The sequence below is a fragment of the Homo sapiens genome, chromosome 22 (genome assembly GCF_000001405.40).
Source record: "Homo sapiens chromosome 22, GRCh38.p14 Primary Assembly".
NCBI classification, from domain to species: domain Eukaryota; kingdom Metazoa; phylum Chordata; class Mammalia; order Primates; family Hominidae; genus Homo; species Homo sapiens.
In genome coordinates, this window is record NC_000022.11 from 48,224,292 (window position 1) to 48,248,321 (window position 24,030).

Genomic DNA, 24,030 nt, shown 5'->3' on the forward strand with positions numbered 1-24,030 from the left:
AAAGATAAATCTTGGAAAAAGAGTTAGCAGCTCTTAAAACAGACCTTAGATTAAAACGTTGTGAGGTCTGTAAGCGCAGGCTGGAAGTGTTGCTTTGCTTTTCTTCCTTTGTTTGTTTACACCTTGCCTTGCTTCAAAGAGGACTGAAGGTGGAAAACTGAGTCAGATCAGGAATTTCCACATCCTGTGAGGACGGCCCTCAGCTTTGGGGCTGGGACAGCTTCTGTGGACTCCTGGAGAAGACACATGACCAGGACCAGACTGGCCCTGGCGAGATCCAGGCAGATTCTCCTAGCTGTGCTGTCAATCCAGGGCAGCAGCCACCTTGGCTCATGGTACTAGTGGGAAGCTACCAGAGATCTCACCTTGTGCCCCCAACCCCACAGGTTAGAGGAGCTCCTGATGGATCACTGAGCGATTCTCCTGCCTTCAGAAGATTCCCAACCAAGCCGCCCAAGAACAAGGGTCAGCTCCTTTACAAAACTCAACTTCCTTCTTCTAAAAGAAGATAACTTCCCACTTCCCATAACATGACGTCCGCAGTCACAGACCCCACATCTAAAGCCTCCCGCAAACCAGCCCACCGGGCTCACCCAGCCAACCTCTTTTAGCTCTTGGCTCCAGACGACTCTAGGTGATGGAGAGATAGAGAGCTCTTCAGAAGAAAACGTCTGGAGTACATTCCAAATGCAAGCAGAGCTAATTGGGCAGCTAAGTTAAGCCACAGTGGCATTTGTAGGAACACTTTCCCACATGGCCACACGAGCTGTGAGTTCCAGGGAGACAGGGTCCATGCCATGTCCACCTTGTTGAACATCTCACACACTAGCATGCACTCACACACTAGCATAGCAGATGCTTAAAAAGTGCTATTTAATTGCAGGCTTTTAGGAAAAACCCAACCTAATGAAAAGCTGCCACTTCTTTTAGTTTTTACTTTTTTTATTTTCTGAGATGGAGTCTCACTCTGTTGCCCAGGTTGGAGTGCAGTGCCGTGATCTCGGCTCACTACAACCTCCACCTCCCAGGTTCAAGTGATTCTCCTGCCTCAGCCTCATGAGTAGCTGGGATTACAGGCACACGGCCCCACACCTGGCTAATATTTTTAAATTTTATTTTTGTATGTTTAGTAGAGATGGGGTTTTGCCATGCTGGCCAGGGCTGGTCTTGAACTCCTGACTTCAAGTGATCTGCCTGCCTTGGCCTCCCAAAGTGCTGGGATTACAGGCATGAGCCACCGCGCCTGGCCTGCCACTTCCTTTAGGTATATAGCATACACACACATCTACCCCAAGGAAAACTTTTAAAAGACAACAGACCAGATAAACACACGTGGCCATCTTGGACCATGGGGCAGCCAACAATGTGAGCACCATCAGCCCAGATGGGCCCAGAATGGCAGAACTGCGTAGCCAACACATGTGTCATGAGAAATGTTACATGGCTGTTTTTTTATGATGGAGTTTCTCAACCTCGGCATTTCTACTAGACACTGCTTTGCACAGGGAGGCTGCCTTGTGTGATCCAAGAAGTTGAAAACATTCCTGGCCTCTACTGTACAGGGCCAGTAGCCCCCTCCCCCACATCCTGACAATAAAAATGTCTCCATACACTTCCACGAGTCTTCTGGGGAGCAAACTGAGGTGGAGAACCTGCTTTAATCCTCTGACTTTAGAGACAAATTGTCATGCGGTCTGTGTGAATGTGGCAAGGGCTAACTCCTGCACAAAGCCCAGAAATAGGGTGTTCTCCCTGAGGAATGTGGGAGATGCCCTGTCATCTGAAGGCTTCCTTCTGTCCCACGCTGCCATTGCCACTTGCCACGGTGAGGGGTGCTGTCCCTGCCTCTGTGAGAGCACCTGAGCTCCCCAGCCACCGAGGCCCACCATGGAGACAAGCCTAGGCACCACATCACATTCCCAACCCTAGACATCCTGTCCAACTTCCAGGAGTGCCCCTTGCCCTCCACAGCTGCCCTCCCATGCTCAACTTGACTCTTTCTAGGGATACAAACAAACAGTTAGGACGTGTCTACAATGACCTTAGAACGCAGGATCAACATCTGCATGGAACAGTAAACCTGGAATTGAGAAACGTGGCAAGCCCACCCAGCATTGCAGGCGGTAAGCTCAGCACTGGGTGCACCATGCCCACTCAGCATTGCAGGCAATAAGCTCAGTGCCAGGTGCATCATGCCCACCCAGCATTGCAGGCGGCAAGCTCAGCACCGGGGGCACCATGACCACCCAGCATTGCAGGCGGCAAGCTCATCACCGGGTGCACCATGCCCACCCAGCATTGCAGGTGGCAAGCTCAGCAGCGGGTGCACCATGCCCACCCAACACTACAGGCGGCAAGCTCAGCACCGGATGTACCATGCCCACCCAGCATTGCAGGCGTTAAGCTCAGCACCGGGGGCACCATGCCCACCCAGCATTGCAGGTGGTAAGCTCAGTGCCAGGTGCACCATGCCCACCCAGCATTGCAGGCGGCAAGCTCAGCACCGGGTGCACCATGCCCACCCAGCATTGCAGGCAGTAAGCTCAGCGCCAGGTGTACCATGCCCACCCAGCATTGCAGGTGGTAAGCCCAGCGCCAGGTGCACCCAGCCTCCAGTCTCTGATCCCTCTGCAGGTAGGCACATCCCCTGGGGTCTTCCTCAGCCGACTGTCAACCCCTTTCAAATGTGCATTGGGTTGCTGCTGCCGCCACGTTCTTTCTCCCAGGACCTGTGCGGCTCTCTGGATCTCACTCTGCTCCGTTTCATGTTGGTCAAAAGTTGGACCGATACATGTCACCGTTACTGGGGAGAAGGTCATCTCATGCCCCGTTCCCCTCCCTTGGAGGTCACCAAGCTGCTCACATTTGGATGTTCTGCTCTTATCCACTTACTGCTGATCTAAAAGGCTGCCAGGTTTAATAGGACCCAGTGGTGGGCCCCATAGTGAGTCATGGAATGCACAACCTTTAATAACAAAAGCCTTAAGGATGGAGGAAAAACAAGGTGGGCGATCTTAAAACTGTTAAACCCCTGCCTCCTTCACTGCGCCATCGGCCCAGAGGGGTGCTCTTATTAGGAAGTCAGATGGGAAGGCTGGGTCGGGGGCAGCTCTGGAGTCTCTTGCAATCCTGTGAAAATGGGGGATGTAAGAGGTGAAATATGAAGGCACTTGGGTGGGGTTTGGAGGGACAGGGGCCCCAGTACTGGTCCTCCACAGGCCAAGCCCAGGACACTGGGAAGGGGTGGCTTGAGAGAGGGGAAAATGTCAGGGCAGAGTCTTGGGAGTGGGTGCTGCCCGGAGGGGCTCCAGTCCCATTTGTGGATGACAGGAGAAGTCACAGGTCACAGGTCTGGGAAAAGTCCTGGCCATGCTCTCCTTTCTCCTCCCCTTTTTCCCCTAGGGGAGCCTGCCCCAGGCTAGCCCTCTAGTCACCCTTCCTCCCACCTCTCCACCAAAGCCACCCCTTCTGGGATCTGTCCCAGGTGACCAGAAAGCTTTCCCTCTGCCTGGCCCATTGAACTCCTGGAACCCCATTGCCTTGACCAAGGACACAATTGCACATGGTGAGACTTCGGCTGCAGGCTGAGGCTGGGCTTGGCACTGTCCACTCAGGTCTGCTAATTTCTGGTGTCCCTTGCTTCTCTCAGTCACTGTAACCTTTTGGGGTGTTCCACAGCTATGGTGCCCCTTTTCATCCTTTACCTCCTGCAACCTTCATGAGCTTCTTGGAAGGAGTTAGCACTTCATCGCCTGACAGAAGAGGAAATTGAGGTGCAACATCAGGCCTTGAGCCCCGGCCGCAGGTCCTGGGCTGCTGTCCTCAGAAACCCCCCACACCACAAAGGGCCAGTATGTCCCTCAAACTCTCTGTTTTCCTTTTTTAGGCGCTGACGGAAGCACGATTGTCACTGAATTCATTATTGGAGATGAATGTGACCATGTTGGCCAATTCTCCTGAGTTTTCACGGTTTCTCACTAACAATGAATGCCTCATTATCAACAGCAAAACGGGGCTCTGGGGGTGTGAGCCGCACACTCCTCTGGCTGGGCCCATTCAGCAGGCATCCAGCATCCGTCCTGAGTGCTGGGCTGTGGGGAGGTCTGAGGAGGTGACCCAGCCATCCTCATCAGCATCACCAGCCCCATGGGCTTCAGGAGGGGCTGCCCTGGAGAAGTATCCGTGGCTCAGAGGTTTAGGGATTGTTGGCTTGAAGAACCTCCTTTCCTGTTCCTCTGCCCATTTTCTGGGCTCTGATAAGTTGGGCTCAGTGTGGGAGCACACGCACCTCTCCACCTCCTCAGGGGCCAGCCCTGGCTCCAGCAGATCCAATTCAGCCTTCCCAGAGCAGGAGCCGGGGATCCGCATCAAGGTGGGTCTGGTGAGACTGCAGAGGTGAGGCCCTCTAAGGTGACCCTGGGTCAGCCCCTTATACTTGGTGGGTGTTCAGTAGCTGTGTAATCAGATAAAGAGACAGGTGGGCTTTGTTTTGTTTCCACAGAAAGTGTGGACCAAATTGGGATTCTTTCCAGCCACATGCTGGAACCAGCTCATGCTGGCTTGGGAGAGAAGACGGTTAATTTTCCAGGAATATTGTGAGGCAGGTGCAAACGTAGGTGAAGTGGGTTGAATAGTGCTCCCTTCCCCCAAGAAAAGATAGGTCCCACCAGATCTGTTCATGGCGAGTGTCCTTATCTGGAAAGGGGTCTTGGCAGATGTAATTGAGTGAAGGCCTCCGAGGTTTCTGATGGGCTCTAAACCCCGTGGCAGATGTCCTTATTAGAGAAAGATGGGGGCTGTGAGAGTCACACACACAGGACAGAACGCCTTGGGGTGATGAAGGCAGAGATTAGGGCAATCTGTCCACAAGCTAAGATGCAGTTGGAGCCACCAGAGGCTGGAAGAGGCAGGAAAGATCCTCCCTCAAATCCTTCAGAGGGAGGGTGGCCCTGCCTACACCTTGATTGCAGACTTCTGGCCTCCAGAACCCTGAGCAGATGAATTTCTGTTGTTTAAGCCCCCAAGTTTGTGGTAACTTGTGATGGTAGCCTGAGGAAGCTAATACAATAGGCATGATTAAAAATTATACTATATAAATTTACAATTCAATAAAATAAGGGCAATGCATACTTAAAATTCAGCCCTTCCTAATTGTCTAATTACAGTTCACTAGGAGTTTTGCTTCTGAAATCTCATTTGTGTCTATTTCTTCCATATGGTGGAATTGCTCTGTAATGACACGCTGCCACTCACCACTTCTCAGCTGAACCTCCAGTGTGGTGTGAAGCTTCAAGTCAACCCTGGTGGGGGTATTTACACCACGGAAATTGGCAAACATGACAAGACAGTGCTTGGTTCATGGTTTTGTTGATTATCTGGAGGTAAAGCGGGGAGAAACTGCCACTGATGTACATCTAATGCCAAGGTGTGCTCTTGTTATTGTTGTTACATTTTTTATAGCACTGAAAAATGAAGAAATATTCATCTAGACCTTGGGAACTCATACCCAACCCAGAGCCGTTGTAGGGGTCATTGGCCAATGAGTGAACTTCCAGCATGTGTCTTCGTTGTTTTACTTTTATTGTCTGCATTCCCTATAAGTTTTGTGCTTAATGTATGTAAATATGTAAATTGTATGCATGACACATACATTTGAGGGTTTTTTTGTAAATAAAAATAACCAATGTTCACGTAGAAGCTATGCACATTCATCAATTGCAATTATAGTTTGTCAGCACATACAAGACTTCAGCAAACACTCAATGAAAATATTCTGTGAGAATTAATTGCCTAGATGGAATTTACAATAAACAGTGTGGTATATAGACTATTATCATTTACAAATTATGTAACACACATCCTCTATGTTAGTAAAATTAACAACAAACACATACTCTGAAGGTTGAGGTGTTGGATGAGGTTCTGGCTTGCCTTAAAAGGGGTTTTGTTCCTAACCTTCTTTGGGATGAGGTAGGTAGAGTCATTTTAGAACTGAGGCCACTGAGACATAGGAGTGGTTTGACTGTGTCCCTCTGACCAGGTGTTCCCACTGTGTCCCCTCGAGGGCCTGGACAACTCTCCCTGCACCATTAATTGATAAATAAATTGGAGAGAGAAGCACAGCTCTCCCTGGGGTCTTGACCCCCGAGCTCTTTCCATTGGGTCACCTGCCCCAATACGAACCCCTCCACTTCTGCCTTCTGGTCACCCTTACCAGATTAGGTGAATCCTCCCTTCTGAAGAACTGAGTCAACGCATGCTTCCACATTTTCCTTAAAACCTCAAGGATTCGTGTAACACATAGAGAAACAGGTGCCAGAGGGAGGTTAAAAGGACGAGTAGGATCCATGAAACTGCTTTTGCTTGAGATAGGAGCATTGGCCTCATCTCGAGGGGAGGCAAAGCACAGAAAAAAGCCAAAGCAGTGTAGGTTAACAGTGGAGACCTGATTCAGTCAAGTGGAAGGGACGGAAGTCTGATGAATTTTCAGTGGAGGTGGCACTGAAGCCATTTATTTCATCATTTATTCTTCCGGCAGGCACTGGGGCAATTCCTGGGCACAAGATACTGTTCCCGGCACTGCACATATGTTATCTCGATTAGTCCTTACAACAGCCTTCCACAGTAGCTGTTACCAGCCCCATCTTAAAGAAGATGCAGGTGAGAAAATGTCAGTGTCAGACCAAAGTTGCCATCATTAGCGAATAACACTATGATATTTTCACCCAGCACTGATGACAAGACTCTTTCCACAAACCCATGTCATCTCTGCTCACATTTTAAATATGAAGTATATTGGCCAGGAACGGTGGCTCATGCCTGTAGTCCTAGCACTTTGGGAGGCCGAGGTGGGTGGATCACGAGGTCAGGAGATCGAGACCATCCTGACTAACACAGTGAAATCCCATCTCTACTAAAAATACAAAAAAAATTAGCCAGGTGTGGTGGTAGGTGCCTGTAGTCCCAGCTACTTGGGAGGCTGAGGCAGGAGAATGGTGTGAACCCAGCAGGCAGAGGTTGCAGTGAGCGGAGATAGTGCCACTGCACTCCAGCCTGGGCAACAGAGTGAGACTCCATCTCAAAAATAATAATAAATAAATAAATTAAAAATATGAAACATATTAATAGCAGCTTTGAGCAGTGGGTGATCTGAAAAATCCCTCAGACACAAAATCCCCCAGATTCTGGGTAAATTGCAAGATATATAATTTGACATGTTTGAATAGGTTCAAAGGAAAATACTGAAGTTACCTGCAGAGAACAAATAAATGAAACCATAAAAGTTGGTGCTGCTCTGGAGGAAAAGCCAACATTGAAAACCCAGGATTTGGGGGATCAGTTTGGAGAGGTGTCAGGAGACTAGGATTTGGCTCCTTTTTTTATGTAGGAGCTAAGCCAAGTTCTCTGTGTAAAGCCAGTTTTCTTGAGGAGCCATATCCTCAGAGAAAGGGTGGGAATTAAAAATATCTACCTACTGCGAAGGGAGATTACATGAAATTGTATCTGCTACTGTCCCAGGTAGAAAAAATAATGCCAATAATTATTGTCTGATGTTCCATTTCAGACTGTCTCTGTTGTCACAGTGTCTTCAGGTTGCTAACTTCCCTTGGCACCTGGTAGTAACAATATTAATTTTTTTAGAAAAAAATTCAATCCAAATCCCTCAGGATTCCCATAGATTAAATTCAGCCCAACATGTGGGTGGAACAAAACATAATCAAAACTAAGCATTAAAACTGTTACCAAAAGCACAAGGAAAAAGCTGCCAGGAGTGAGAATCAATTTAAAAAGGGGAACAGATTTAGCAGCACTTCCCTCAATAGACTTTAGATATTCAACTGTTAGTAGCAGGACACAAAATAACACAGTATGAAAAAATTTAAAATAAATGTGATGTTGGCAAAATGAGTAAGAAGGAATAAACTACATAAATGACCAGATTTCTTAAGGAATTAATAAAACTTCTGGAAATTAAAAATATAGTGACCAAAATGATGGGTTAATGAATAGGTTAAATAGCAAAGTAGATACAGCTAAAAATAAAATCAAAGAAAAGGAAGATAGATTAGATAAAATTACCGTAATGGGGCAGAAACAAAGATGACATGAGGCATGTGAAAAGGAGTGAAAACACACACAGTAAAACCAGAATGTCTCACATCCATACATCGGAGTTTCAATAAAAAAGTCTAGAGAATGGGAAAAAAGAAAAATTGAAATGATAATGGCTGATGTTTCTTTTCAGGACTAATTAATCTTTTTTCAGAAGAAAGGCATGAATTTACAGATACAAACACACTGGCAAATAAAATCAGAAGGATACATAAAAGGATACATCAAAATAACATTTTGATCCATCGCAGTAAAATTTTACAACATACAAAAGATCTTGAAAAGCCTTATAGAGAAGAGAGAGATTGCTCAGAAAAGATTAACAATTAGATTGACAGCAGATTCCTAAACAGCAATAATGGAAGCCAAAATAATTGTGTAATAACATTTTCAAAGTATAAGGAAAAATCATGGTTGGCTTATAATTCTGTGTCCAGTAAAAGTACAAAGGTAAAATTGAACATTTTAGAAGAAAATTGTCAACAACTTTTACCAAAAGAACTTCCTAAAGACAAGTCAGAAAGAAGGAAAATGATCCAGGATAAAACCACGAGATGTAAGAAGAAATGAGCTAGGCATGGTAGCTCACACCTGTAATCCCAGCATTTTGGGAGGCCGAGGAGGGTGGATCATTTGAGGTCAGGAGTTCAAGACCAGCCTGGCCAACATGGCAAAATCCTGCCTCTAGTGAAAATACAAAAATTAGCCTGGTTTGGTGGTGCATGCCTATAGTCCCAGCTACTCGGGGGGCTGAGGCAGGAGAATCGCTTGAACCCAGGAGGCAGAGGTTGCAGTGAGCCAAGATCAGGCCATTGCACTCCAGCCTGGGTGATAGAGCAAGACTCTGTCTCAAAAAAAAAGAAAAGAAAGAAAAAGAAAAAGAAAAAAAGAAAAAAAAAAAAGAAATGTTGGCCAAAACATTGATGAAAAATAAAAAATATGAGACTATAGAATAAATGCTGACCACATTGGTAAATGTGGGTAAATGTGAATAAATATTGGCTAGTAATCATAGATAATTTATGAAATTTAAGAATAATAATACACAGTCTAATTAAAATACTGGAAAAACAACAGGTTTTAGACTTTGTTGGGGAATAAAAGCTGAGGTTAGTGTGCTCAGATGTCTGTGTTACCCGGAAAGGATTGAGTTATTCATTACATTTAGCATTGCCAATGAAAAGTGAGAATGGCAAAATTTTAATTATAATTTAAAAGGTGTAAGTGGGGAAATGATGAAAGGAGAAAAACCCAAACCAGTCTAAAAGAAACTAAAAAAAAAAATGGGAAACTAAGAGACAGAAAGTTTGGACCAATGGGAAACCCATGATAAGATGGCATAACAATAAATATAAATGGAGAAAATTAAATGCTTAAAATACATGACAAAATATACAATCACATCCAATTTACATGCTTAAAACCAGACACACGATGAAAACAAAAAGTAACAGAACTGGTGAAGATGAAAAGACAGAAAATTTATGTATGCTCAACAAACACTTGCTGAAAGAAAGTTGGGGCAGATCAACTATTAATAGCAGAAAAACATACATCTGAGAATATGTACAGAAATAAAGAAGGTCCCAGTGGCACTTCTTCCATCAGTAAGGAAGGTACAGTAGTTCTGAACTTGCAGGCACCTAATGAAGTAGCCTCAATATTTAGGAACACTGACAGAACTGCAAGGAGGAATTGCCAAATCCACCGTCATTGTTGGAGACAGCAACACAAGTCCTGCAGGAATGCGGTGAGTCAGCGGACAGAAAGGAAGTCAAGATGCAGAAGACTGAAGCCACCAGATAAGCTCACTGCAGTCGGTGGGGAGACCCAGACCCCACATGAGTCTGCTGGACACTGCACGGCCTTTTTACCCACACGTGGAAAGTTTACAAAAATGGGCCACTTGCAAGTCCATAAAACCGTCACTATAGATTTCCAGTAAGTGTATTATTCTGAGTGTGATGCGGAGGAGAGTGGGTCTGGAGAAGAACCCTCAGCTACCTTGATCATTCAGTTCATGCAGATCTTACCTGATATTACAGTTCTCTAGACCACGCATGCCCCTGGTCACTTAAAATATATTCCATATTGGAAAAATAACTAATGGGCACTAGGCTTAATACATCGGTGATGAAATACTCTGTACCACAAACCTCCGTGACACAAGTATACCTGTATAACAAACACATGTACCCCTGAACTTAATAAAAGTTAAAAAAATACTCCATATATAAATACATAAATACATAAATAAATAAATAAAAGTTAAAATATATACTCCATATTTTGCTCTCCCTTTCCAGGTCTCTAATGCATAAATGAAGTTGAATCAGTAGTTTAAATACACTAAGAAAAAGACTTGTTTAAGAGGGAAGCACTGGCAAACTTCCAAAGACAAGATGTTTACAAACCTATACACATTTGTCAGACACGAAGAAAAGAGGCAATATCTCCAACTCATCCTACAAGCCTATTCTAATCTTGATACTCAAACCGGACAAAGCTAGCATGAGCAAAGAAAATGATAGAGAGGCGAGGCTCCTGCATAAAATTACATGGAAAAAAAAATCCCAATCCTGACATTCACATGAAGCCGCCTCTCCCTTCCCTCCTTTCTTTTCTTTTCTTTTCTTTTCTTTCTTTTTTTTTTTTTTTTTTTTGGTTTTTTTTTGAGGCAGAGTCTCACTCTTGTTGCCCAGGCTGGAGTCCGGTGGTGCAATCTCAGCTCACTGCAACCTCCGCCTCCTGGGTTCAAGCGATTCTCCCAAGCAGCTGGGATTGACAGGCGCCCACCACCACACCCGCCTATTTTTTTTTTTTTTTTTTTGTATTTTTAGGAGAGACAAGGTTTCACCATGTTGGCCAGGGTCTTTTCTCTTCTTCATTCTTCCCTCTCTCCTCCCCGCTTCCATTCATTATCCCTCCTTTTTCTCCTCTTCCTTCCTTTTTCTTTGATTTTCTCTTCTTGTCCTCCTATGTCTTTCTCCAAGACCACATACAGTTTATTCCAAGAATTACTTGATTTAATATTTTAAATTGCATCAATCTAATTTACCACATTACCACGTTAAAGGAGAAAACCCATGTAATTATTTAAATAAATGCATGCATATAAATGAGTTAATATAATTTGAAATCACCCCTGATCAAAAGTAAAACCAAAAATATCTTTTACCAAAGTAAATGTGATTCTATCAGGATCCTCAGAAAATATAGAAATTATCCTAGGTATTTCAAATGAAGGGAATTTAACACAGAGATGATTTATTCATGTATTGGAAGGCATAAAGAAAAATTTTTTTAACAAGGTAATTCGTATGTAATAAATTACGGAAGCAGTTGTCACCACTGGGCTGAAGTTACTGAAATTTTAAAGTGGATTAAAATTTAATGTGTATGGGGAATAGATGCTAACTCACTGCTGGGGGTGGCCCAGAGAGCCTCCCCCCAAACCCACACGCACCGCAAATGATGGGTGCTCAGAGCTCAGGCTGGCGTCCCTGTATGTGTGTGGTGTGGTATGTGGCGATTCTCGAGAGATGGCTGATGGTGCCTTGCACGGGTCTTGGCACTGGGAGCACGTGGAAGTCGGATGAGGTGATTTGGGCTCCAGCTTCCTCTGCTGCAGGACAGGTGCTGACAGTGCCTGCAGCCAGAAAAACGTCTAATGGTCTCTTTTCAGTAAATCAGCAATATTGAAGACATAACTATTGAAAATATTTGTAACATCAATGTAAGGTACATAGGAAGAAATCTAACTAGATACGTGCACAACCTCACTAGAATATTATACATTTATTTTGAAAAACAGAAATATGTTGAAATACATTCCATATTTAAAGTGATAGAGATTCAGTATAGTCTCCCTAAATTGAGTCATAGATTCAGTGAAAATCTCCATACAGGTCTTTGTAGAAATTGGCGAAATGATTCTAACAGTTACATGGAAGAACAAGGACCAACAGAAAAAAGCCTCTCTTCTCCTCCTCCTGCTTTCCGTACTCCCAGCAGATCCTCCCACTAGCAGGGCCCAACTGGAAGCCAGCCAGCAAAGGAGTCTGGGAAATTTAATTTGCAGGAGCTAAGCCCTGGCATCCCCGAGCAGGGTACAGAGCGGGAGGCTCTTAGTGGAGATGAACAGGTAAACACCCAGGTCTCCATCAGGAGCCTTCAGGATAGCCCCCACCTAATAACAAAGCAGGGAACCTAAAAAAATTATAAATAAAAAGAAATAAGTCTAATATCATACCTTTTATATGAAAGGTTTAGACAGTATGATAAAATAAGGTTATATATACGTAAAAGCACATATGATATATAAATAGATATACAATACTTCCCTTTACATTATATATATATATATATAAAATGTAAAAAGGGAAAAATTTCTCTTTACATTTTATATATAATACATAATATATATAATGTAAAGGGAAATATTGTAACTATTTGGAGGTATAATAATCATCTACATAGAACCCCAGATGCATTCTACAAAAAATATTAAAGTTAGTATGCATTTAGTATAGCACTGGATATAAGATCAATACATATAAAAACTAATGGTCTCTTTTCTCTAAATCAGCAATATTTAAGATAACAACAATGTAAGGTACATAGGAAGAAATCTAACAAAACATGTGCACAACCTCACTAGAAAATTATACATTTATTTTGAAAGACAGAAATATATTGAAATACATTCCATATTTAAAGTGAGAGAGATTCAATACAGAATGATGTCAAATCTCCCTAAATTGAGTCACAGATTCAATGAAAATCTCCATACAGGTCTTTGTAGAAATTGGCGAAATGATTCTAACAGTTACACAGAAGAACAAGGACCAACAGAGGCCATGACTCTCCGGAGGATGACCTCTAGGCTCTCGAATCTAGCTCAGGAACCAGGGATGGTGCTGGCACAAGGACAGAGAAAGAGCCTGATGGACCAAAACAGAGAACCCAGAGAAAGAACCAGAACAGGACGGCACCGTGACTTGGCGGGGGAGGAAGATGCATTCAGTGTGTGCTTCAGGACTTCTATTTGTCCACGTGGACAAGTTCTGGGACTGGCAGGTGAGGCGTGGTACAGCAGGGCCACCTAGGGAAGAGTGGGAATGGGCACTGCCACTGAGAGCACCCGGGGGTGTGGGGGTAAGATGTGAAGAGGAAGCGGCAAGGTGCCTGGGTGCTGGGAGGCACAGGCGCAGAGCAAACTAGGCCTCGCTCCTTCTCAGTACACGGCACCGGAGCTCAGAGCTTCACTCACACCTTGGTGAGGTCACCCCAGACATCCATTCTGTGCCGCTGGTCTAACTGTGCAACCTCTTCGCCATGTAACCTTTCCAGCGCCCCCTCCCCAGCGCAGGCCTAGCTGCTGCATGATGGATCCATCTACTGGGGAAGCAAGCGGGCCCAGGCCACCCCCTACAAATGATCTCGTGATAATTCAGTTCCATTGAGTGCCTAATTGCCCTCTCTCCTCCGTTTCTCTTTAACTAGTTTATGAGTCTTCCAAACTGGATTGTGAACTCTTTAAAAGAGAAATGCATTTCCTGCTTGTATTCCATGCACCATTTAGCTTGGGGTCAGGCATGTAGTGTGTGCACAAAGACAACTGAGCCGGAACTGGAGAAAGCCTTTCTGATTCCAGCACTGCCTGTCTGTAGTCGTGTGATCATGACAAGCCCCTTCCTCCTCCGTTCCTTACCTCCATCCTTCCGTCATGTGCAGTGTGAGGGGAGTGGGCATGCAGCCCCCGAGGACCCCTCCACTCTAACACTGGGGGCCACACCTTGGTTGGGCCAGGCACCATCTAACTCTGGACACTTCCTATCCAAGGCAAGGACCAGAGCCCCGCAGCGTCAGGGTCCTCTGGGAGCTGTTACATTTGTGGCATCTCAGAGCCCACCCAGCCCCGCCAAGTCAGGCTCCACATGTGAGCAGCATCCCCTGGGTCATCCACGCTGAAGCTTCAGAGCCTTGTGTCCCATCCCTGGCACCGTGCCCACTGGGCTCCAGAAGAATCACTCAAGGGCCCACAGAGTGGAGGGCTCCAGGCCCTTCGCCATGTCAATTCTGCTTCTAGGAAGGGTATGTATGAGTTCACTAGAGCTGCTGTAAGGAAACACCACAGCCTGGGTGGCTTTCTTGCCTCACAGTTCTGGAGGTGGAAGCCCCAAATCAAGGTGTCCACAAGGTCGGTTTCTTCTGAAGCCTGAGAGGGAGAATGGGTTCCAGGCCTCTCTGGAGCTCTCTGGCTTGCAGATGCCATCATTTCCTTGTGTCTCTTCTCACAGGCTTTCCTCTGTGCCTGTCGGTCACTGCGTCCAAATTTCCCCTTTATGGGGCCACTTGCCCTATTGTCTTAGGGGCCCACTGTACCCCTATGTGACTTCCCCTTAACGAATTGTGTCTGCACTGACCCTGTTCCCCAGCAAGGCTGCATTCTGAGGCACTGGGAGTTAGGACTTGCATATATGAATTTTAGAAGGACACAAAACCCGTAGCCAGACGTCTGAATCTGTGTTTCAATAACTTCCCTGTGGGATTCTGGAGCACAGCCTGGTTTGGAAACCTCTGGAGCTGGCAGCTAAGGCTCTCGAGGCCTGAGTGCAGTGCACGGCACGTGAGGTACGGGTGGAAAGGGCTGCTGTGCCCAGAAGTTGTCCCCAAGGCTCTGATCTGCAGCTCCTTCCACCGGAGAGGGTGGTGTGGGTGGCCCCTTGGGGCCAGTGGCCAGCACATATTGTTGATGTGGACAGCTGCCACTGGGGGTGCTGAGTGCTTTCTTCCTTTTTCTTCTCTGCTGTTCTGTTCCCAGAATGTAGACTTCCCCAGAGGGATTCCTAGGCGGCCTTTTTGCGCGGGTGCCTGTGTGGAAAGGCATAGCACCGCGCCCGGGCTCCTCTCAGCTCTCAGGGCCTTCCTGTGGTGTTGGTTTGTCCGGTGTGGGTGTGCAGTTGCCCTCTCTGTGGTCTGCTTTCTTACTCAGATGCTAATACATTTTTTAAACACCGACTTGCCTGGAAGTGTAGCTGACCCTGATGTAAGACGCTATCGCCCCCGTCAAGAACAAGCCTCCCCACTGCAGCCGGGCTAGCTGGGGTTGGGAGGCAGCAGGAGCCCAGAGGCCATGCACACATCGGCGGCCCGAAGGCATTCACTATGCTCTGTCACTGGGTTCTGGCACTGACAACTGTGGGAGGGGACGTGCCCTGTGGAAGGTGGCTTCACTGTCTGTGTGATGACTCTGCAGGAATCTAAGCAACCCCCATAAACTTCAAAGCACTCTGAGGAAAACAAGGCCCCTGCCATTCCCCTCCTTGGCCAGTTCCTCCTGCAGGGGGGCTTTGTCCCCTAATCTTTCAGGCTTCAGACTCAGAATGTGGATTCATTCTTCTCTTAAACTCCCTAAATCCCATCAGGGGCCAAACCCAATCGGTTCTTTGAACCAGAAAATTGTGTCAGCCCTAGGCAATACATAGTTCAACAATTCCCAGAGACCTGTGCCTAGCAAACCTGCAATCTAACAAGGAGCATCAGGGTAAGACAGAGAGGTTTCCCCACCACATTTGTCTGAACCCTGAGAACTCCAGGCCCTGTGAATGTGGAGGCTTCTGGCTCTGAGCTCCTCTCTGCACTGTCTATGCAGAAAAACTCTTCCAAGAAAGCGGGTGGCTATGGGCAGAAGAAATGAGGGGAGAGTTCGCTGTCTGAGAAACAGGGCTTTAACATCATTCTAAAGAACAAAGAATGACAGGGCCGATTACAAAAGATCCTTATCTAATCACCGCAGCGGCCCTGCAGGACCCTCCTTGATAATGGGTTGGCTTTTCATCCATTGCAGAGTGTGTGCTCAGAGGGAATGAGACTTCGTTTCTGGAATAATAGGCCATAATTGAGATCTTCCATTCAGGCAGACAGCCTCTGCCTCATTTAGTCCAGAACAGTGGAGTCTGACGGCTCCGCCCCGAGCTCCTCTGGAGGAGTATGGACGGTGTGGAGCAGTCAGTGTGAAAGGCAGGGGGCTTACATGCTGTGAGAGTCCCCTCCACCATGTCTGAAGCACACGGTTTTAATCAGACGGTGAGTGCACACCTCCCAGCCACTTCTTTATCTCTGCAGGAACATCTGGAGGAGCTGGTTGTCAGTGCTTTAGGGTGTGGGAGGAGGTAACAAGTCCTCTCCCTTGGCTGACGTGATTTTCCGTAGTTATATAGGAGTATTTATCAGCCAGGGCTGCTCTTTCTTAGTTCATAGTCAAGATCAAGCCAGGTCTCTTTCTCTAAGCAGCCTACTAATGGCTGTGCACATTGGTGAGGTCACATTCTAGGCATCCTAAGCAGAAAGGAATTGAATACAGGACACATTGTTGGATGGGTTGGAGAAGTGGGGGGCTGAGCCTGGCATTTGGGTTTAGAGTGCACCACCACCGCTGCCATCAGAAGCCACCCCAGAGACTCCACTACTGCCCATGACACCCATAAAGCTGGGACTGGATACCAGAAAGCCACTCAGACTGTTACGACCACCTCAGACACGTGTATCCCATGATGACTGTTACGACCACCTCAAACACGTGTATCCTATGACCTTGCATGTCAAAAGCAGACAGAGGAGGATGGGCTCCATTCTACCCAATGCCGGGTGAGAGAGGCAGTTGGCAAAATATTCTTTCCAGCTTTTCAGCTTCTGCTGGGAAAAGGGTGAGAGGGAGGCTGAGAACGCCGTGCCATGGTGTCTGTACCGTGCAGTGTGGAAGCCGGTGGCTAATCCCAGGCACAAGAGGGTGGGGCATTGGCATATATTCCAGTATATGATTCTAGTACCACGACATTGATGGCAGCACTCGTGCCCTCACTGAGGCCAGGAGGAGTCAGGGCTCCCTCGATGACTGGGGCCCCAGTTATCTCTACTTTCCACATCCTGGCCATTAGGGGCTAATTGTGATATGCTTGTAGGGGTTGAACAAAGACCAGCAATTAATTTTACCCCTGAAATTTCAATTCTGTCTCACTTGAATCCATTCCAGTCAGTAAAGGCCTGCTCTTGGAAGGAGATGGGGTTCGTGAACTTGGAGATTGAAGGAAATCAAATCTACCCTCTCGGACCATTGCCAGAGTAACTGCAAAACACACCCAGGGCAGAGATTTTGTTTGCAGGTGATGTGTATGTTATGGCCCCTTTGTCGAACCTTTCCTTTTTGCAGAACACCCAGAGCATGTGGGGGGCACCAAGCAGAGGAAGTCCTCGTGGAGGTAGAGACCCTCGGAGCTCTTGGTGCAGGCCTGAGTAGCCCCTACCAGAATCACTTGAGCGACCCGTCTTCCCAGCACAATGACCACCCCCGCAGCCCTGGGACCCGGGGCCCTTGTTTGGATCCTCATGGAGCAAGGCGTGGGCCCAGGTTCTGCCACAGGAAGTCAGCGCATCCGCGGGGCCGACTGAATCTCCTGCTGTGGCCTGGAGCGCTGTTCAGGCGTGGAAAAATGACACCACGTGTCTGCCCACGTTCAGAACAGAATTGAAGAGGAAACCACAAAGAGAGAGTAACATCAAAGTGTGAGCGTGCCCCTCATCTCAGACTGTACACCAGGAAGTGTTTCCAATGGATCAAAAACACAGATGGAGATCTGAGCTATTCTCACACAAATCAGCTGTTCCAGGCTTTGGAAACTAGGGTGTGGCTGTGACCCATGGGAGAGGGGGAACAGCTGGGGGAACCCCACATTCTCCTCGCATTCCCAAAGGGGCCCCTGGAAAGGAGAGCCCAGATGGGGAGCAGAGGTCTGGAGGTGTGGCTAAAACCCACCTCCGCAGCTTTCAGTGAGGACAGCTGTCCATCCAGGGGGTCCAGTCTTTCGGCTTCCCTGGGCCACCTTGGAAGAGGAATTGTCTGGGGCCACACATAAAATCCACTAACACTAACGATAGCTGATGAGCTTGAAAACACACACACACACACACAAAAACTCATCGTGTTTTAAGAAAGTTTAGGGATTTTTGTTGTGCCACATTGAAAGCCGTCCTGGGCTGCTTGTGGCCGGCGGGCTTCGGGTTGGATGAACTTGTTCTGGATAATGCAGGTGGACCTGACTTACTAATTTGAGGACCCTAAGAGTAGAGCTGAGGATTCTCTCCCTGAAGAAAGACTTCCACAGCGCTCCAGCCTGCCCTCCTGGGGCCCAACCCACCCAGACCTCCAACTTGCCTAGCCAGACCCCCCAGGTTGTCTAAGGCCATTCCTGGCACTAAATCTCTTACTATAAATCCCTCCACATGCCCCATCCCCACCCCCACATTCTGTGTCTCTGGTTGAACCCGAATGAATAGACACCTGCCTGGAGCACCCACCCTCACCCATGTGACCGCAGAAGAGGAGAGTGCCCAGGGGATTGAAGGGTGTGGCCACGCGGGCCAATCACTAGCCAGGCCAAGCCATCCATGCTCCGAAAAGCTCAGCCTTGACCAAGGCCTCAGAGCATTTGTTCAGTTAACAAATGACAAGGCTTCAGGAAGCCTCCTCCACGATGAATAAAGTGATGGTTTTGACCTGCAGGCTCAGAGATGTGCTGGCTTCTTCAGAACTATCCCATCGCTCATGGATGTGCTCACCTTCAGGACAAGGGCACCAGATGTTTATCCAGCCAATGTCACCAGCCAGAGACCCCAGGGGACCCCCTGCAGTTGAGCAAGGTGGCTTCATTGCTTGCTGGAGAAAGGAGACTCAGGGAAACTTTGGGGTGCCTCAGTAAGAGGGTGCCAAAAAGAATGTACAGGATTCAGGCTTGGATTCGAGGGCTGTGGAGGGGTCCCAGGAAGCAGAAGTTGGCTCTTGGTAACAAGTAGGGATCTTTCCTACGATCAGACATCTTTTTAAAAATGGAGATACAGGCTGGGCACAGTAGCTCACACCTGTAATCCCAGCACTTTGGGAGGCTGAGGTGGGCGGATCACCTGAGGTCAGGAATTCGAGACCATCCTGGCCAACATGGTGAAACCCCATTTCCACTAAAAATACAAAAATTAGCTGGGTGTGGTGGCACACACCTGTAGTCCCAGCTACTCGGGGGTCTGAGGCAGGAGAATGGCTTGAACACAGGAGGCAGAGATTGCAGTGAGCTGAGTTTGTACTAGTGCACTCTAGCCTGGGCGACAGAGCAGGACTCCGTCTCAAAAATAAAAAATTGAGATACAATTCACATGCCGTAAAATGTACCTTTGTAAAATACAACTCTGTGGCTTTTTGCGTATTCATGAAGTTGTGAAACCATCACCACTATCTAATTGCAGAAGCTTTTCATTACCCCAGAAAGGAGCTCTGTGACGGTCTTCAGTCCCTCTCTCGATGCTCCCCTCCACCCATGGCCACCCCAAATCTACTTTCTGTCTCTATAGTTTTGCCTGTTCTCAGCATCGCATGTAAGTGGGGTCACACACAATGTGGTCTTGTGTCTGCTTCTTTCACTAAGCGCCATGTTGCAAGGTTGATTCACGTTGCAGCATGAGACGAAATCCTGTTCCTCCTTTGGACTGAATTACTGTCTCTTGCGTGGATGGACCACATTCTGTTTCTCCAGTCATCTATCGAGGGACATTTGGGTTGTTTCCACCTTTGGGTTCTTGCGAATTATGTGGCCTTGAACCTTTTTGGACAGGTTTTGGTGAGGAGGTGCGTTTTCAAAGCACGTGGGCAGATGTCCAGGAGGGGGTTGCTGGGGGTGGGGGCTGGTAATGATTTATTTGTGTTCTCTTTGTGCATCTGTCTTGGAAGGCAGCCTGAAATGAGGATGAGGCTGGGAGGATACAGCTGCCATGTCACTGAGAGGAGCTGGGAAGAGGGCACTTGGCACCTTGTGTTTTGCACAGCGACCTTGTTTTTGACCGTAATTTTGGAGTCATTTTGTTCTGGGTCTCTCTTCATCATGATCCCAGACCAACCTCGTCCACCCCAGGACTTCTGTGAGGTCACTTTTATGTCCGACAGGGAGGCACCACGACCACGCCGTGGGCTTGCTCCTGGGTGGGGCATTGGGGCAGCTGCCGTCATCCTGGTCCACAGTAACATCCTGTGTGAGGGGAGGGAGGGTGTGAATGCCTGCGGTGAGTTCCCTGGTGTGGCGGATGGGCTGCCTGTCTGCCCTGCCACCCGGCATTGGCCACTGAGCAAGTTAGCCGCTCAGAGCGCTCGGAGCAGGCAGAGTCAGCAGGGCCACAGTGGACCCGCCACCCCTTCCACATGCGACCCTCCCCTCTTGTCTAGGCCCCCATGCGGCTTTCCTCTCAGTCCGGGACACTCGATGTCCCCCACGCAGCCTTCTCTGCCCACTTCACGTTGCATCTTAAGTGGCATTTACCAAGAGCCACCCCCCAGGCTACATCAGGTGCCCCTTCTGTGCTCCCCAAAAGACCCCTAATTTCTCTTCAAGGGGGAATCAGAGGAACAGGGAGCAGGGCGAGGGCCATGCATATTTCCCACGGGAACCGACACGGCCGCTGGCACCCCTGCCTCCAGCCGCCGACACTGCCCGGCCAGTCCACAGACAGCTGCTTCTCGCCCAGCCTCCCTCCTCTGTCCTTTGCAAAGCAAATATGACCCAGTTCCTCCCAGTCAACAAACTTGCAGAACTCCGTTGTCCACAGAATAAATCCTAACCGATGCCGGGATCTGAGCAACCCGTCTGGCCAGGAGTGTCCGTGCCCTGGGAGGTCCTCAGGCTCTTCGAGGGGTGCTGGGCAGCATCACAGTGAACCAGGAGAAGGTGTGTTACCTGAGTCAGGTCTGGAGCTTGGGAAACATTTGGTTGTCAGCCTCTGTCCCCTCCAGCTAATGTACATAGCATTTAGATTGTGTTACAGCTTGACAACCACTCCGTAATTATATGGGTAGGACAGGAAGGAAGTGGTGTGTGGTCCATGCCCAGCATCACATTCACCAAGACTGCCGTCCACATTCATGAACTTGTTTGTTGCTAGAAGATTCCCCAAATGCAGATGTGATTTTGTTAAAATGCTTGACAATTCAGAGTAAGTAAGACCTGTCCCCAAATGCTTAGTTTGGGGCAAATTCTGCTCTGCGTTAGATAAAAGGCCTGAAGATTTCTCAGAAGTTAAGAATGATATTTCAGGTGAATTATAAGAAGAGAATGTCCTTTTCTATTTAGAAAATGCAATAAACTTCCCCTGCAGCGTGTTTACCTTTTTAAAACTAGACGGGAACCACATTCCGGCACAACAAAATATCCCCGACAGTTTCTTCTAGGGCGGTGATTATGATGTCTGTCATGAGTGGAAATGCTTAAATATTTCAATTCCACAAATGTTTATCATGCACCTGCTATGAGTCCAATCATCTCTGGGCACAGAGGAAGATACAAAAAAAAAAGAAAAAAAGAAAAAAATGGCTGGGCTCAGTGGCTCATGCCTGTAATCCCAGCAGTAGGAGGCTGAGGCGGGCAGATCACCTGAGGTCAGGAGTTCGAGACCAGCCTGGCTAACATGATGAAACTCTGTTTCTACTAAAAATACGAAAAATTAGCTGGGCATGGTGGTGCATGCCTGTAATCCTAGTTACTCAGGAGGCTGAGGCAGGAGAATCGCTTGAACCCAGGAGGTGGAGGTTGCAGTGAGCCGAGATCATGCCATTGCACTGCAGCTTGGGCAAAAAGAGCGAAACTCCATCTCAGAAAAAAAAAAAAAGTATATGAAATAATGACAATAAACTAACCAGGACAGACCCATATAAATAAGTGTTGACTTCAAAGTCTTCCTCTTGGAGGAAGCGGGGACTCCTTCCACTGGGTCCTTAAGCAGCCACGGCTCACTCTGGCTGCTGCGCTTCATTTTCTGCAAGGTGCCTGGAGCTGCTGATCTGCAGATGGATTCTGTGGGTCTTTTCCAGCAAGGAGATTCCTGGAGCTCTGTGATTAAGGTGGGCAGCTTCCTCATCTCCTTTCCTTAACCCTGGGGCAGATATAACCACCACTCACCACTGTCCAAGTCTTCTTCCCCTCCAGACCCAGGAAAGACCACATCTGTGGCTGATTTCACCTGGAGGTGACAGGTGTGCTTATTTCCAAATGCTGTACTCAAAATGCCCTTCCTCACCAAGGCTGAAGGGAAGGCTGTGATCCAGATGGTTCTGCCTCAAGAAAGGGGAACCTCCAGCAGCCTGAGGTCCTGAAATAAGGTGTGGAACAGAGCCCCCTGCCTATGCAGGATAAGTAATATGAGCAGACAGTGATCTCTATCCGTGTGTGTGTGTGTGTGTTTATGTCACTAAGATTCCAGGGTCATTAGTGACTGTAGCACAGTTTAGCCTGTTCCGGCTGCTACCTCCTTTCCCACTCCCCACCTACATTTACCAAGTGAAAACCCATTCTCTGGCTCTTGTTGCAAGCAGGGAGATCTAAAAACAGAGAGAGAGAGAGAGAGAGAGAGAGAGGGAGGGATGAGGGATGATGGATCCAGTGGGTTTGGGTTTGTTTTCAATTGGGTGTCTAAGATGTTGCTCTTATAAAGATACGGAATAAGGTCAACCTACTTGAAGAAACATTCTTGGAGAAAGAGAGACACCATGACATGTTGAGAACATATAAAACAGCCTTGTCTTATGTCATCCAAACTTGACACTATTGAGTTTTACATTTGATGACTCCAGAGTTATTTTAAACATCTTTTGTAAGAATACAGGTCAGTTACTAAGGCCGGGCGCAGTGGCTCACCCCTGTTATCCCATCATTTTGGGAGGCCAAGGCCAGCGGATCACGAGGTCAGGAGATGGAGACCATCCTGGGCAACATGGTGAAACCCCGTCTCTACTAAAATACAAAAAAATTAGCCAGACATGGTGTCATGCACCTGCAATCTCAGGAGGCTGAAGCAGGGGAATCACTTGAACCTGGGAGGCAGAGCTTGCAGTGAGCCGAGATCCCGCCACTGCACTCCAGCCTGGGCGACAGAGCAAGACTGCATCTCAAAAAAAAAAAAAAAAAAAAAAAAAAAAAAAAAAAAAAAATACAGGTCAGTTACTAAAAAAATTTGCTAGTTTGTTTGATGTTCCTGATGATTAGATTCATTTGACAAATTTTTGGCCGAATGCTGCATAAATGATATTTTGCCTTTCCAGGGACCCACATTCCAGGGACTCACACCCAGGTGTGCACGACATCTGTTTGCCCTTAGTCGATCATGTTAATTTTGAGCGCTTGGTTAAAGTGTGACCTGGTTTCTCCACTGTATAGTTACTGGTTTTAATTTTGTGAATTAGTAAATACTTGGTAGGGAGATTATTAGATTATATACATATCCTTTTTCTCAACAAACATTCTCATATTTAGGATCTAGGATGATTCTAGCCTGAATTAGTTATTACTATGATGAGGGCAAGTGATGATTTTCCAACTTTTGGTGTTTGTTAGCTGGTGTTCCACTCTAAGGAAAAGCCCTTCCTGTCCCTCCATGTATTCACTTATTGATTTATCTATCATTTATTTGTATGTATTTATGTCAGCGTAGCCTCACGCATTCTTGTTTTATTGGATGGTAATGATCTGTCCCTTGCCACTTGCTCTGGTGCTCACACTGTGTGGCTTTGGCCCAGGTGCTCCAAGGAGCAGGCTTCCCGGTCCCTCAGACCTGCCCCATCGATGTTGAGGAAGCTCCTCATTTTGGGCACAGTCAGTTGTTTAAGGCTCTGTTTGTGTCCTCCTGCTTGAGGTCCTGAACCAGCCATTTCCCCGAAGGAGTGCTGCTGCCTTTCAGAGAGGAAAGTCAGGCCAGAGAAGACACGGCAAAACGGAAGAAAGTTTCAGGTCACAGGAGACTAAAGAGAGGATGCCTAAACACAGCACGGGTCACAGGACACTAGAGAGGGGGGACCCCTAAACACAGCGCAGGTCACAGGAGACACAG

The 24,030-nt window shown here is 47.3% G+C and overlaps 5 annotated features.

Annotated features, from left to right (window-relative positions):
- Positions 14,492 to 15,375: an enhancer, noted in NCBI's record as "NANOG-H3K27ac-H3K4me1 hESC enhancer chr22:48634595-48635478 (GRCh37/hg19 assembly coordinates)". NCBI's record gives its function as "activates a minimal SCP1, AML or CMV promoter by ChIP-STARR-seq in naive and primed H9 embryonic stem cells {active_cell/tissue: H9 hESC(naive and primed)}" and the evidence as "EXISTENCE:reporter gene assay evidence [ECO:0000049][PMID:30033119]".
- Positions 15,070 to 15,275: a silencer, noted in NCBI's record as "fragment chr22:48635173-48635378 (GRCh37/hg19 assembly coordinates)". NCBI's record gives its function as "represses an EF-1alpha promoter that drives an FKBP-Casp9 reporter gene in an ReSE screen in phorbol 12-myristate 13-acetate-treated (for megakaryocytic differentiation) K562 erythroleukemia cells {active_cell/tissue: K562(+PMA)}" and the evidence as "EXISTENCE:reporter gene assay evidence [ECO:0000049][PMID:32094911]".
- Positions 15,376 to 16,257: an enhancer, noted in NCBI's record as "NANOG-H3K27ac-H3K4me1 hESC enhancer chr22:48635479-48636360 (GRCh37/hg19 assembly coordinates)". NCBI's record gives its function as "activates a minimal SCP1, AML or CMV promoter by ChIP-STARR-seq in primed H9 embryonic stem cells {active_cell/tissue: H9 hESC(primed)}" and the evidence as "EXISTENCE:reporter gene assay evidence [ECO:0000049][PMID:30033119]".
- Positions 16,258 to 17,139: an enhancer, noted in NCBI's record as "H3K27ac-H3K4me1 hESC enhancer chr22:48636361-48637242 (GRCh37/hg19 assembly coordinates)". NCBI's record gives its function as "activates a minimal SCP1, AML or CMV promoter by ChIP-STARR-seq in naive and primed H9 embryonic stem cells {active_cell/tissue: H9 hESC(naive and primed)}" and the evidence as "EXISTENCE:reporter gene assay evidence [ECO:0000049][PMID:30033119]".
- Positions 20,037 to 20,537: an enhancer, noted in NCBI's record as "H3K4me1 hESC enhancer chr22:48640140-48640640 (GRCh37/hg19 assembly coordinates)". NCBI's record gives its function as "activates a minimal SCP1, AML or CMV promoter by ChIP-STARR-seq in naive H9 embryonic stem cells {active_cell/tissue: H9 hESC(naive)}" and the evidence as "EXISTENCE:reporter gene assay evidence [ECO:0000049][PMID:30033119]".